This window comes from Homo sapiens, chromosome 16 (assembly GCF_000001405.40).
Source record: "Homo sapiens chromosome 16, GRCh38.p14 Primary Assembly".
Classification (NCBI taxonomy): domain Eukaryota; kingdom Metazoa; phylum Chordata; class Mammalia; order Primates; family Hominidae; genus Homo; species Homo sapiens.
Window position 1 is genome coordinate 2,047,839 of NC_000016.10, and position 13,662 is coordinate 2,061,500.

At 57.3% G+C, this 13,662-nt stretch overlaps 1 protein-coding gene across 52 annotated transcripts in view, besides 2 other annotated features; it reads left to right on the forward strand.

The window, feature by feature from the left end:
• Positions 1 to 90: an enhancer, noted in NCBI's record as "active region_10253". NCBI's record gives its function as "activates an Ori minimal core promoter by ATAC-STARR-seq in GM12878 lymphoblastoid cells {active_cell/tissue: GM12878}" and the evidence as "EXISTENCE:reporter gene assay evidence [ECO:0000049][PMID:35858748]".
• The window catches only part of TSC2 (TSC complex subunit 2), a 41,507-nt gene continuing 27,991 nt past the window's right edge, over positions 147 to 13,662 (forward strand). For 20 of the 52 annotated variants that reach the window (NR_176226.1, NR_176227.1, NR_176225.1 and 17 more), the window contains exons 1-11: positions 147 to 227; positions 749 to 915; positions 2,562 to 2,648; positions 5,504 to 5,614; positions 6,458 to 6,602; positions 7,564 to 7,681; positions 8,358 to 8,406; positions 8,806 to 8,931; positions 9,267 to 9,340; positions 10,909 to 11,035; positions 12,832 to 12,975. Coding sequence is in view for 37 of the 52 variants with exons in the window: in XM_011522636.3 (XP_011520938.1) it covers positions 778 to 915; positions 2,562 to 2,648; positions 5,504 to 5,614; positions 6,458 to 6,602; positions 7,564 to 7,681; positions 8,358 to 8,406; positions 8,806 to 8,931; positions 9,267 to 9,340; positions 10,909 to 11,035; positions 12,832 to 12,975 (1,119 nt within the window). In the remaining 15 variants the exon portion in view is untranslated. Of the gene's footprint in view, positions 228 to 363; positions 436 to 748; positions 916 to 2,561; positions 2,649 to 5,503; positions 5,705 to 6,457; positions 6,603 to 7,563; positions 7,682 to 8,141; positions 8,407 to 8,805; positions 8,932 to 9,266; positions 9,341 to 10,908; positions 11,036 to 12,831; positions 12,976 to 13,114; positions 13,202 to 13,662 lie in introns of those variants that run through there. The other 32 variants (NM_001406689.1, NM_001406690.1, NM_001406692.1 and 29 more) reach the window with 13 other exon arrangements.
• Positions 181 to 410: a silencer, noted in NCBI's record as "silent region_7024". NCBI's record gives its function as "represses an Ori minimal core promoter by ATAC-STARR-seq in GM12878 lymphoblastoid cells {active_cell/tissue: GM12878}" and the evidence as "EXISTENCE:reporter gene assay evidence [ECO:0000049][PMID:35858748]".

Consider the following 13,662-nt stretch of genomic DNA (forward strand, 5'->3'; position numbering starts at 1 on the left):
ACTACACATCCCGGCGGCCCATGCGGCCCCGTCACGTGATGCAAGGATCGCCGGCCTTTCCGCCAGAGGGCGGCACAGAACTACAACTCCCAGCAAGCTCCCAAGGCGGCCCTCCGCGCAATGCCGCTACCGGAAGTGCGGGTCGCGCTTCCGGCGGCGTCCCGGGGCCAGGGGGGTGCGCCTTTCTCCGCGTCGGGGCGGCCCGGAGCGCGGTGGCGCGGCGCGGGGTAAGTGGCGGTCCCCACGGGGCAAGTGGCGGTCCCCACGGGGCAGCGGCCTAGAGAGGCGGACCCCGCAGTGTCCGGGTCCCGGGCCCTCACCCGCGCCCACTGCAACCCGACTCCGGAGCTCCGAGCATCCCTTAGTTTTAAGTCATGGCGGGTGCGAACGGGTCTCTGCTGCAGGCGGCTCCGTGACAGCTCCTGCTTCACATGGGTAGAGGAGAGACGGCAAACGTCGGGGCTCCCAGGACTTCGCGGCGGCAGTCCTAACCCGTGCACTGAGTCGGGCGGGGCGGGCGGCAGCGTCTGAGTAGAGAGCTCTCTAGACCAGGCCTGGTGTCTCCCGGGCTTTCCTAGGTGCCTGTTTGCGAGCTGGTCAGCTGGGCTGTAGTTGAGTTCTCCCAGGGAGTGTGGGAGGAAAGGTTATGCCCACCAGAGACCCAGGGTCCTGACGGCTGGAGGTCCGCAGTGGGGAAGGTGGGCAGAGGTGTTGCTCAGATGTCCCCATTCCTGTTTCGTTTGCACAGAGGGGTTTTCTGGTGCGTCCTGGTCCACCATGGCCAAACCAACAAGCAAAGATTCAGGCTTGAAGGAGAAGTTTAAGATTCTGTTGGGACTGGGAACACCGAGGCCAAATCCCAGGTCTGCAGAGGGTAAACAGACGGAGTTTATCATCACCGCGGAAATACTGAGAGTGAGTGAGCTACCTGTGTCTTTGCTAGGCTAGAGGGAAATGCAGAGAAGGCTGGGTTTGGTCTTGCACCAGGTTCTGTGGGAGACGGGTTGCTGGCAACTGTCTACACAGGAATGCTGTCTCCAGTACTTGGAGGCCGACATGTCCTTCCTCAGGAGACTTCGAAAGTCAGGATCTTGGTGACCTGGTTCAGGCACACTTGAGTTACTATTCAGATGTTGATGAAAGAAAGCCCATCTTATAGATGAGGCCTGAGTATCATCATCTTCACAGGTAAGGATATGTCCAGGTGTTACATGATAAGATGTGAGTTCCTGGGAGAAGTAGGTTCTTTATTTTATTTTTTTTTTGAGACTGAGTCTTGCTCTGTTGCCTAGGCTGGAGTGCAGTGGCACAATCTCTGCTCGCTGCTACCTCTGCCTCCCAGTTTCAAGTGGTTCTCCTGCCTCAGCCTCCTGAGTAGCTGGGACTACAGACACGTGCCACCACACCCATTTAATTTTTGTATTTTTAGTAGAGATGGAGTTTCACTATCTTGGCCAGGCTGGTCTTGAACTGCTGACCTCAGGTGATCTGCCCGCTTTGGCCTCCCAAAGTGCTGGGATTACAGGCATGAGCCATCGCACATGGGCTAGGTCGTTATCTTTTATGTGTGTTTGTGTCTTTGTCACACATGCCTGGCATTGTGTTTTGCCCATGAGTAAATGCTGAATTTTTGCACTTGTAAAGTTTTCTACTTAGAAACAACTAAAACGTTCATCAACTGATGAATAAAATATAGTCCATCCTGGCTGGGTGCGGTGGCTCACGCCTGTCATCCCAGCACTTTGGGAGGCCGAGGCGGGTGGATCACCTGAGGTCAGGAGTTTGAGACCAGCCTGGCCAACATGGCGAAACCCCGTCTCTACTAAAAATACCAAAAATTAGCCGGTCATAGTGGTGGGCGCCTGTAATTCCAGCTACTCGGGGGGCTGAGACGAGAATTGCTTGAACCCGGGAGGCGGAGGTTTCAGTGAGCCGTGATCGCGCCACTGCACTCCATCCTGGGGAAGAAGAGCAAAACTCCGTCTAAAAAAAAATTGTGCAGTTTGAAATTGTATTTCATGTTATGTTTTATCTCAATACAACATTTGCAGTTGTGAAAAAAAATTGCACATTCTCAACTCCTCGGGATGGAGCAGTAAAGCCCCTCAGTAAATCTTTTTTTTTTTTTTTTTTTGAGACCGAGTTTCGCTCTTGTCACCCAGGCTGGAGCGCAGGGGCGCGATCTCGGCTCACTGCAATCTCCGCCTCCTGGGTTCAAGGGATTCTCCTGCCTCACTCTCCCGAGTAGCTGGGATTATAGACGCCCACCACCACGCCCAGCAAATTTTTTGTATTTTTAGTAGAGACAGGGTTTCATCATGTTGGGCAGGCTGGTCTCAAACTCCTGACCTCTGGTGATCCACCTGCCTTGGCCCCCCAAAGTGCAGGGATTACAGGCCTGAGCCACCGCGGCTCGTCAAGTGAATCTTGATTCCAGAAAGATCTGTTTTAAGTCTCTAGTCTGGAAAATGCAGTGGGAGTCTTTAGGTGGTTTGTGACTTGCAGTTAAGGAGACCGTGGCCTGAGCACTGGCCCCTTTTTCTTCTTTCATCTCTCTCCAGGAACTGAGCATGGAATGTGGCCTCAACAATCGCATCCGGATGATAGGGCAGATTTGTGAAGTCGCAAAAACCAAGAAATTTGAAGAGGTAGGTTTATCCAGTTGAGCTACTAGAGAGAGGCACGTAGACTATTCAGAGCCTGAGTTTGCTTTTTTTAGGAACATGGTTGACAGCTGACTGCCGATGATCTGGTTTGCACTTTTTTTTTTTTTTTTTTTTTGAGATGGAGTCTTGCTCTGTCGCCCAGGCTGGCACAATCTTGGCTCACTGCAGCCTCTGCCTCCTGGGTTCAAGCAGTTCTCCTGCCTCAGCCTCCTGAGTAGCTGGGATTACAGGCACGCGCCACCACACCCGGCTTTTTGTATTTTTAGTAGAGACGGGGTTTCGCCATGTTGGCCAGGCTGGTCTTGAACTCCTGACCTCGTGAACCATATGCCTCAGCCTCCCAAAGTGCTGGGATTACAGGCGTGAGCCACTGCGCCCAGCCAGTTTGCACTGTTTTAGGGGAATTTAGCTTTCATCGTAGTGATGGGGAAGCTACTGGAAATGCCCCGAATACAACCTTGAGGGACCAATCAAGCGTGGAAATGGGGAGCAAAGGGATTAGGCTTTTCTAGCAACACCAGAAAGGATTTCTATGCCGAGCGGGGGTGCGGGGGCTTATGCCTGTAATCCTAGGACTTTGGGAGGCCGAGGTGGGTGGATCACGAGGTCAGGAGTTCAAGACCACTCTGGCCAACATGGCGAAACCCCGTCTGTACTAAAAGATGATGAGCCGGGCATGGTGGCACATGCCTGTAATCCCAGCTACTTGGGAGGCTGAGGCAGGAGAATCGCTTGAACCCGGGAGGCACAGGTTGCAGTGAGCCGAGATCGCCCCACTGCACTCCAGTCTGGGTGACGGAGCAAGACTCTGTCTCAAAAAAAAAAAAAAGGAAGAGTTTGTAGTGGCTGATAGAAACGCATGCTCACTCGCTCTCTCCTGTTACAAGTTCAGGCCAAGAAAAATCAAGAAAGGGTTTGTTCCACAGAGAACAATCCTAGGCACGCTGGTCTTGGTGCCATTTTGGGAGGGTGACTGGTCGGTGGTATTGGGCGACCTCACGGACATAGAAATATTTATTTTGGGCAAACATTGCCAGACTTTCCTGATGACTTGTGGACAGGACAGGAAGTGGTCATTTTGGGAGTGCAGGTTGCTGGTAGAGCACCTGAGGGCTCTGCCCTTGCCTTGCCCAGCATTTGTGTGTGGGAGAGCAGTGAGACCTGGACCTCTCATGCTCAGATCTGCTAAGAGGAGAGTGATTGCTACCTCTGCAGCAGCTCATCTGAAACGTGCTGGCCGTACGCTACCAAAGATAGGTGTAAAGAACAGGTGTCCTTAGCCGGGCGCAGTGGTTCACGCCTGTAATCCCAGCACTTTGGGAGGCCAAGGTGGATGGATCACCTGAGGTGAGGAGTTCGAGACCCGCCTGGCCAATGTGGCAAAACCCTGTTTCTACTAAAGATACAAAAATTAGCTGGGCATGGTGTCGGGCACCTGTAATCCCAGCTACTTGGGAGGCTGAGGGAGGAGAATCGCTTAAACTCAGGAGGCAGAGGTTGTGGTGAGCTGAGATTGTGCCATTGCACTGCAGCCTGGGCAACAGAGCAAGACTGTCTCAGAAAACAAAAAAAAGAACAAGCGTCCTGCATCCTGTTCTGAAAGTTGTTTGTGTGGGTACGGGGCAGCCTGTGAGTGGATAAATAGGCCTCCGAGGCTGGGATGGTCCCGGGCCCTGTGTCCACGGATCTTTGCAGCTCAGGTTGCAACGGTAAGAGTATTGTCAATGAGACAAAGGAGGTGAGAGTGCCAGTTGTCTGAATTGGTTGGGATGTTGGTCAGATGACATCTAAAAGAACACGGCCATTTTGTTATTATTTGGTTAGAGACAAGGTCTCACTCTGTCACCCAGGCCGGGGTGCAGTGTCACAATCATGGCTCACTACAGCCTCAACCTGCCAGGCTCACGTGATCCTCCTACTTTAGCCTCTCAAGTAGCTGGGACTACAGGCATGCAGCACCACGCCTGGCTAAGTTTTGTATTTTTTGTCGTGACAGGGTCTCACTGTGTTGCCCAGGCTAGTCTGAAACTCCTGGGCTGACGTGACCCTCTCCCCTCTGCCACCCGAAGTGCTGAGATTACAGGTGTGAGCCACCGCACTTGGCCAGAACACGGCCATTTTAGTTCCCCTCCTTAGAGGAGTAAGGCCAGGAATGAGCCTGTGGTCTGAAAGCCGTGGCTGTTGGTTAATGTGGAGAAGGGAAGGTGGTGAGAGCCAGCCCAAACCCCTGCCGAGTGAGACTGATTCTGGCAGCTTTAGGGAGCAGGGATGAGCCCCTCACAGGCTGGGTGGTAGTTAGAGGAGGCAGATTTCAGAAGGCCACGCAGCGCTCTTTCTCAGCAGGTCAGGCAGGCAGCAGAGGTCGGGCAGGGGCATGGGGTCGAGGGCCCGATGCTGGTGTGTTCACTAGAGGAGAGCCACAAGCAGGGATTCTGGGTCAGGTGCAGGCCTAGGGCTTAGTGTGCACTTGTGGTTCTGAGACTGTCCCATGACTTCCTGCCAGCATTCCGGCAGCTCTAGTGGGACTCCCTCCTGGTCCAGGTGAGGCCACCATTGCTGCCCTGGCTTGCTGCTGTCCTCTCAGCCCCCAGTCTGTCACCTGGTGGGAGTTAAAGGGACCTGCTGGGGTTTGAGGAAGCTCTGAGCCGTTCCCTGTACGAAGCCTGTGGTCATCTCAGGCTGCAGGAGACACAGGAGATACGAGCTTTGGAGGTGGGGCTCTCAGTCACAAGCCCCCGTTGTTCCTCCCTGTCCTCCGCTCACGGCACTGCTCCAGTTGCCGGGGCCAGGGTTCTTGGAGAGCACATCCTCACCGCTGTCCCCTCTGCTGGTGACAGCACGCAGTGGAAGCACTCTGGAAGGCGGTCGCGGATCTGTTGCAGCCGGAGCGGCCGCTGGAGGCCCGGCACGCGGTGCTGGCTCTGCTGAAGGCCATCGTGCAGGGGCAGGTAAGGCCCAGGGCGACGCTGGGATGGGTGACGTCAGGCTGCCCACTGACTGTCCTGTCCCTGCTGGGCCGTGTTTGGACTCCTGCCTCGGTGAGTTGCTGGGCACAGGGTCTAGGGGCTGATGGGCTCTGGAGCTGGATGGCCTGTGGGGTCTCCTGGTGTCATGAGGTCTGTGTGACCGTAGGCACTGCCTCCTCGCCTGTAAACAGATGGTCACTGCACCTTCCTCTTATGGGATGTTCTGGGGATCATATGAGGCAGTTCTCGCAGAGTGCTGAGATCGTACCTGGCAGCTGGTGTGGGGCTACGGTGTTGTTTTGCCCTTGCACCCTTTCGGGGCCACTCCCCTGCTCACTGCATTCCATCTGTGCTGGTCTTGGCTGACCCTGAACACCCAGGCCTCTTGGTGTTCCTGCCTCCCCTGGTCGGCCACTTCTACTCCTTCATGTCCCAGCTGCTCAGAAGGGCCGTCCACTCTCACAGGCTCTCCTGGGTTTCCCCCACTCAGGCCTTGTCCTCAGTCTCTGAGCACAAGGCTGTCTGCCCTGCACCGAGTGCAGGGGTCGGGCAGGAGCTGTGTCATCCCCTGCTCTGCGCCACCCGCTGTGCCAGGTCCCGACACACAGCAGTTGCTCCCCATACGCCGCTCTGCGGTCGGCCGGTGCATCCGGCCCCCTGCCCTGTACAATGCTGATGCTGCAGACCTGTCTCTTGCAGGGCGCCTCTGTGGGAAGGAGAGGGGTCCAGGGCTGGAGTCCGGGTGCCCCTGCACTTCAGGGACTTCTTGGCAGCCGTGTGGGCGACGCTGGCAGGCTCTGCTGATCCTGTGGCTTTTGTCTTTAGGGCGAGCGTTTGGGGGTCCTCAGAGCCCTCTTCTTTAAGGTCATCAAGGATTACCCTTCCAACGAAGACCTTCACGAAAGGCTGGAGGTTTTCAAGGCCCTCACAGACAATGGGAGACACATCACCTACTTGGAGGAAGAGCTGGGTGGGTGCCACCTTGGGTTGGAGGTTTCTCTGGCCTTGACGATCAAGTGTAACCTGGATGGGAAGGACCTGGGGCTGGGGAGGGGCTGCCGTTCTCAGGGATGGCCTGCAGCGGGTATGCCCACCCTGCTTCATGCACCTGGGCTCACCTGCGTGGCCGGAGTGCCCCTGAGGCACGTGTTAAAAATGCAGAGTCCTGGCCTTCACCCCAGACCTGCTGACTGTGAGTCTCTGGGGCTTGGGGCCTCCGAACACCTCTGCAACGGCAGGAGCTGGGCGAGTTCTGTCACTGGGAGGTGGTGCTGCTGACTTGGTCTCAACCGGAGCGTACTGGTCCCGTCTTCCTCCTCCTTTCTCCACTTTGTGGACCTTCCTCCTGCCATCCTGTGGTGGGAGGTTTCCATTAGTCTTGGGTCTCTGTGTCATGATTCTGGGAAGTAGAGAAAGAGGAGGAAGAGATCGGTCTGACTCTGGCTTTGCTGTTCTGTCGCCCAGAAAAGGGCCTCAGTGGCTGGGCTGCCTGCAGGACAGGTGCCGGCCAGGTGCCTACCGTCAGGTTTCCTGTCTGAGGTGACGTGGCCGGCAGCCAAGTGTGCACACGTCTCCTCCGAGCCACTCTCTGCTGGGGGTGGGGAACGCCCAGGAGTCTGGTGATGTCGGCGTCTCCCAGCCTCGGGTTGGGCCCTGAGTGTACGGCATACACACTTCTGCTGCCGCCTCGGCACAGACCCTCTGTGCAGCCCCAGGGGCGGTAGATCCTAGTGTCCGTGCGTAGCCGGCCTGCCCTGGGCTCCCCTGAGCCTCTTCGGGCCCAGTGCGTGGTCTGTCTGTTGCTGCCGGGGGACTGATGATGGGGTTTCTGGCAGTGACGGGTTTGGACACACTGTCCTGCGGCGGGAGGGGGAGGTGAGTGGGAGATGTAGATTCGGCGTCCTCGCAAACTGCCGCCGCTTCTCCCCCAGCTGACTTTGTCCTGCAGTGGATGGATGTTGGCTTGTCCTCGGAATTCCTTCTGGTGCTGGTGAACTTGGTCAAATTCAATAGCTGTTACCTCGACGAGTACATCGCAAGGATGGTTCAGTAAGAAAAGAATTGAGATCCTGTTCTGATAATGGTCCTAAGTTCAGCTCCGCAGTGAATAAAGTTGAAACCACCAAAAAAATAGAGGTTGGGCTGGGCACAATGGCTCACGCCTGTAATCTCAGCACTTTGGGAGGCCGAGGCAGGCGGATCACGAGGTCAGGAGTTCGAGACCAGCCTGGCCAACATGGTGAAACCCTGTCTCTACTAAAAATACAAAAATTAGCCGGGCATGGTGGTGGGAGCCTGTAATCCCAGCTACTCAGGAGGCTGAGGCAGGAGAATTGCTTGAAACCGGAAGGCAGAGGTTGCAGTGAGCGGAGATCGTGCCACTGCACTCCAGCCTGGGTGAAAGAGCAAAACTCCATCTCAAAAAAAAAAAAAAAAAAAGAGAAGTACGTAGCTATCTTCTGTTTAGCTCTCATCTGATGTCTTGGTTATCTTTTTGTTGTTTGTTTAGAATGTTGCATGAGCTCTGTCTCACTCATGCTGAACACCCAGCACCGAGAGCAGTGGCTGGCGCACAGCAGGCACCTGAGTGCTTGTTGGGTGGGTGGGACCCCCAGGGAGGATGAGCCATGCGTGTTATTGACGTCATAGAGTGACTAGACCACAGCCCGTGGTGGCTCGGCCATCCAGGCAGTGCTGCCGGGACTGAGCTCGGTGCTCCCTGCAGGATGATCTGTCTGCTGTGCGTCCGGACCGCGTCCTCTGTGGACATAGAGGTCAGTGCCTCCCCTCCCCAGGGCCGGCCCATTTCACCCTGGTTTCTGGGAGGCTGGGGCTTGGGGGTTGAGCCCTGTGTGCCACCTGCTGGCTGTGTAGCCCTGGGCAAGCTGCTCGGTCTCTCTGAGCCTCAGGAGTCCCCCATGTAAGTCAGGATAGCCGGGCGCCTCCATGTGGAGATGTAGCTCAGGGTGGATGACAGCATCAATGACCCACAGTGACAGGGACGTCAGGTGCTTCCCACATGCCCGCTTGCCCTGTGGCTTGGAGAGAGGGTGCCATGGCAGCGGGGAGAGGTGGCAGCGCAGGCTGAAGGAGGTGGGAAGGAAGCCTGGGTGTCCTCTCCTGTGGGGAGGAGCTGGGGTAGGACGGGCGTGAGCCGTCTCCCTCTCCACCAGGTCTCCCTGCAGGTGCTGGACGCCGTGGTCTGCTACAACTGCCTGCCGGCTGAGAGCCTCCCGCTGTTCATCGTTACCCTCTGTCGCACCATCAACGTCAAGGAGCTCTGCGAGCCTTGCTGGAAGGTGGGGTTTCTGAAACTGCTCTGGAAGGTTCCTGAGAGCACATGGATGGGACAAGGGCCATCCTGTCTCCCATGAATGGTTGTCTGATTCTTGGGGTGGCCAGACAATGGCCTGTTGAGGGACGGCCAGTGTCATTTTCCCAGGCAGTTGAGCTGAGGTCAGGGTTTTGGTGGCATTTTGAGAACCCTGCTGCCTCTGTCTTTGGGAGGAGATGGTGGCGAGCTGGCCGGACCTTGGGTGGCTATAGGGCAGCAGCCAGGCGGGGCCAGCAGCGGGACTGGGGCTGGGGGCAGGGCTTATGCCTGCCAGCCCCTGACACGCATTGTGTCTCGCAGCTGATGCGGAACCTCCTTGGCACCCACCTGGGCCACAGCGCCATCTACAACATGTGCCACCTCATGGAGGACAGGTGAGTGTGGTGGGTGGGGCGCAGGGCAGTGGAGGCCAGCACAGCCCTCGGGGCAGCTCCAGTGTCCCTTGCCAAGCACACACTGGCTTAGAGAGTCCTTGTCCTCTCGGGCAGCTGTTCCAGAGGCTGCCACTAGAGCGAGGCCCATGACTTCTAGGATCCAGCCCCTGTCCTCTCCTTCCTCTGTCAGTTCAACAGAATATCCACACCCAGCTCAGTGCCTGCCCCATGCTCGGACGTCCTCCAGCGGTGCTCCCCAACTACTTAGCCTGTTACAAGGCGAGGCTCGGGGTCTTGGCTTGACGTTGCCCTTGCCCTCACCCCCACAGCCAGGCTGTGGCCACTTTTGTTGCTTTAGCCATTAGAGATGGCTCAGCTCTGCCCACACCCTGGCCTCCCACCCATGCTGCCAGCTCCCCCTCCTGCTCTCCTGTATCCATCCGCGCCTCCTGAAGCCCACTCCATGCAGCACCCGGGTGGCCTTTTTCTGACACAGATATGTCGGTGTCACCCTTTGCTGGAAGCCAGGTGGTTCCCAGCGCCCTTGGGATGTAGGCTTCTCCTATGGAACCAGGCCCTGGGGCCAGCCCTGCCTCAGCCCTGCATCTCTCCCAGCCCTGCCTCGGCCCCTGCATCTCTCCCAGCCCTGCCTCGGCCCCTGCATCTCTCCCAGCCCTGCCTCGGCCCCTGCATCTCTCCCAGCCCTGCCTCGGCCCCTGCATCTCTCCCAGCCCTGCCTCGGCCCCTGCATCTCTCCCAGCCCTGCCTCGGCCCCTGCATCTCTCCCAGCCCTGCCTCGGCCCCTGCATCTCTCCCAGCCCTGCCTCGGCCCCTGCATCTCTCCCAGCCCTGCCTCGGCCCTGCATCTTTCCTTCCCTCCATCCTTGGAACCAGGCCCTGGGGCCCAGCCCTGCCTCAGCCCTGCATCTCTCCTAGCCCTGCCTCAGCCCCTGCATCTCTCCCTCCCTCCTCCCGTAGAACCAGGCCCTGGGGGCCAGCCCTGCCTCAGCCTGCATCTCTCCCAGCCCTGCCCCACCCCCTGCATCTCTCCTTTCCTCCATCTTGCCTTCTCCCCTCCACCAAGGGCTTGTGCATGCCCTGATTCCTCTTGCCAGCAGGTTCTTCCACCTTTGCCGAGTTACTCTGTTTACTGAGGTCTTAGCGTGGTCACTGACTCCCCCACCTCCCTGAGTAGTTTTTGCTGTGGCTTTCCTTCTTGGCTGTGATTGGAGGAAGAGATTTTGCGTTTACCTGGGAGATTATGTGGCTGGCGCCTGTCTCCCCCAGACTGCGAGGCTGTGGGCCATCCCTCTTGCCTGCTTCCTGTCCCTGGCATGACCTGTAGCTCACAGCGTGGTCAGCAGTGATGGGCTGCCGCCTGTGCGCAGGAGTGAACAAGAGTGTTACTGCTGGCCTCTGTTCCCTGCCCTTCCCCAGCGGTGCTCCTGCCCCCCCCAAGCACAGGGACCTCTGGGGCTGCTGCAGGAGCCTCGGCAACCTCACACATCCATGGCGGACCCTGGGACAGGGCCCTGCTCACATTCCGTCTCTCTGGGGAACACTTTTAGAGCCTACATGGAGGACGCGCCCCTGCTGAGAGGAGCCGTGTTTTTTGTGGGCATGGCTCTCTGGGGAGCCCACCGGCTCTATTCTCTCAGGAACTCGCCGACATCTGTGTTGCCATCATTTTACCAGGTAAGGCGGTTTCTGTGTGCAGTGAGCTGGCAGGAACGGGAGAGCTCCCCTCACGCCTGCCCACCCATCCCACTGGGGGTCCTGCTGCGGGGGCTGCGGTGGCATTTCTAGGCCTTTCCAGGCAGTTGCTTTGCAGCTGGGGGTGAGGTTTGGGGCCCTTTGTAGGCTTTAGTCTTTTTTTTTTTTTTGAGAAGGAGTTCTGCTCTTTCTGCTTGGCTGACTGCAATCTCCGCCTCCCGGATTCAAGTGATTCTATTGCCTCAGACTCCTGAGTAGCTGGGATTACAGGTGCCTGGTACCATGCCTGGCTAATTTTGTGTTTTTAGTAGAGACGGGGTTTCGCCATGTTGGCCAGGCTGGTCTCGAATTCCTGACCTGAAGTGATCCACCCATCTCAGACTCCCAAAGTGCTAGGATTACAGGCGTGAGCCACCATGCCTGGCCAAAGGCTTTTTTCTCTCTCTCTTTTTTTTTTTTTTTTTTTTTGAGACAGAGTTTTACTCTTGTTGCCCAGGGTGGAGTGCAATGGTGCGATCTCGGCTCACTGCAACCTCTGCCTCCCCAGTTCAAGCCATTCTGCCTCAGCCTCCTGAGTAGCTGGGATTACAGGTGCCTGCCACAGTGCCTGGCTAATGGTTTTTTTTTTTTTTTTTTTTTTTTAATGGGACAGAGTTTCGCTCTTATTGCCCAGGCTGGAGTGCAATGGCGCGATCTTGGCTCAGCGCAACCTCCGCCTCCCAGGTTCAAGCCATTCTCCTGCCTCAGCCTCCTGAGTAGCTGGGATTATAGGCATGGGCCACTACACACAGCTAATTTTTTATTTTTAGTAGAGACTGGGTTTCTCCACATTGGTCAGGCTGGTCTCAAACTCCCGACCTCAGGTGATCCGCCAGCCTCAGCCTCCCAAAGTGCTGGAATTATAGGTATGAGTCACCGTGCCCGGCCAAGGCTAATGTTTTGTATTTTTATTAGAGATGGGGTTTCACCATGTTGGTCAGGCTGGTCTTGAACTCCTGACCTCAGGTGATCCACCCGCCTTGGTCTCCCAAAGTGCTGAGATTATAGGCATGAGCCACTGCGCGCAGCCCAAAGGCTTTATTCTCAAGCAAACCTTACATCTTGCGAGTTTCACCTTCTGGAGTTGGCAGTGGAGGGGTGAACGCTGCCTCGGGGGTAGCCGTTCTCTTGCTGTTGGCGGCTCTGTTTTGTCAAGTGCTGGTCTTGTCCTGTCTCTGCAATGACGCCGTGGCACAGACGCTGGTGGTACAGCTTCAGTTTCCGCAGTGCCCCGTGATGACAGCGCTTTTTGTGTCCGTCCTCGTTCTGTGCTCACAGCTCCCTGGAGGGTGGGGCGATCACGTCGTCCTGGTTTTATAGTGATGAGCTGCGGTGTGGGTCACAGGGCTCTCCTGATCCTCTGCTCTTCCTGCTACCCCCCTCCCCGTAGGGGCGGTGGGGGGATGTTGTCTTTGTGCACAGCTTGCAGCCGAACTCAGGGCAGCTTTCAGTTGCTGCTGGGCTGGCCCACCGGGTGCCCAGGATTCAGTTGCTGGTCTGTCCGAGTCAGGGACTTTGCAGGCAGGCATGGGGGTGGGGCCCGTCTGGGTCCTGACTGTGCTGGAGCATGTAGAAACCCCTCCTGGGCGCCCCACCTGCTGTTTCTGCGGCCCCTGATAAACGTGTGGTGGGCACTGCGCGCTCAGGCGTGCTACTCTCGGTCCCAAGGGTGACTGGGAGGGCGTCCCACAGCAAGCAAGCAGCTCTGACCCTGTGTGCTGGCCGGGCTCGTGTTCCAGGCCATGGCATGTCCGAACGAGGTGGTGTCCTATGAGATCGTCCTGTCCATCACCAGGCTCATCAAGAAGTATAGGAAGGAGCTCCAGGTGGTGGCGTGGGACATTCTGCTGAACATCATCGAACGGCTCCTTCAGCAGCTCCAGGTGGGGTGGGGGCAGGAGCTCCGGGGAGCACCGGGAACCCAGACAGGCAGGCTCGGCCCACTCAGAAGATGGTACCTTGGGCCCCATCTCTGGGGGTCCCGCAGAGACTGCCAGAACCGTGTTCTCTGGTGATTCGCAGTGGCGCTCATCCACCTTCCACCGGAGACAGGTCTGATTTTTCCAGACGTGGTGCATCGTTTAGGCCCCAGACAGGAATATGCAGTAGGTGAGCCGGGGCTGGGCCAGTGCTGTCCACAGTCCGCAGAGTGACCTGCAGGCCGCCTTCGTGGCCTGAGTGGGCCCCGGCACAGTTCCCAGAGGGATGCCAGTGTGGCTTCCGCATGACTTTGGAGGACCGCATTAGTCGAGTCTGTTAACCACAGCTTTAAGGAGGACTCCACGGCCACACGGGCTCATCAGCATAGGGGCCCTGGGGAGGCGAGGCTAGTATCCAGCAGCCTCAGGGCTGTGCCTTTTCCTGGAGCCTGGGGCGGGTGATGTACAGGAGGCCAGGCAGCAGAAGGGAGGCCGGGACTTCGCCGGGACTTAGCAGGGACTGAAGTCCTCTCAGAGCCTGTCGCTGGGCCAGAGCATTGCCCCCGACCGCTGGTGGCAGTGGCAGAGGTCATAGCCTGGGGCTTCTAAAAGAGGCTGGACCTGGGAGAGGCAAGAAAGGCTTGTAGTTGT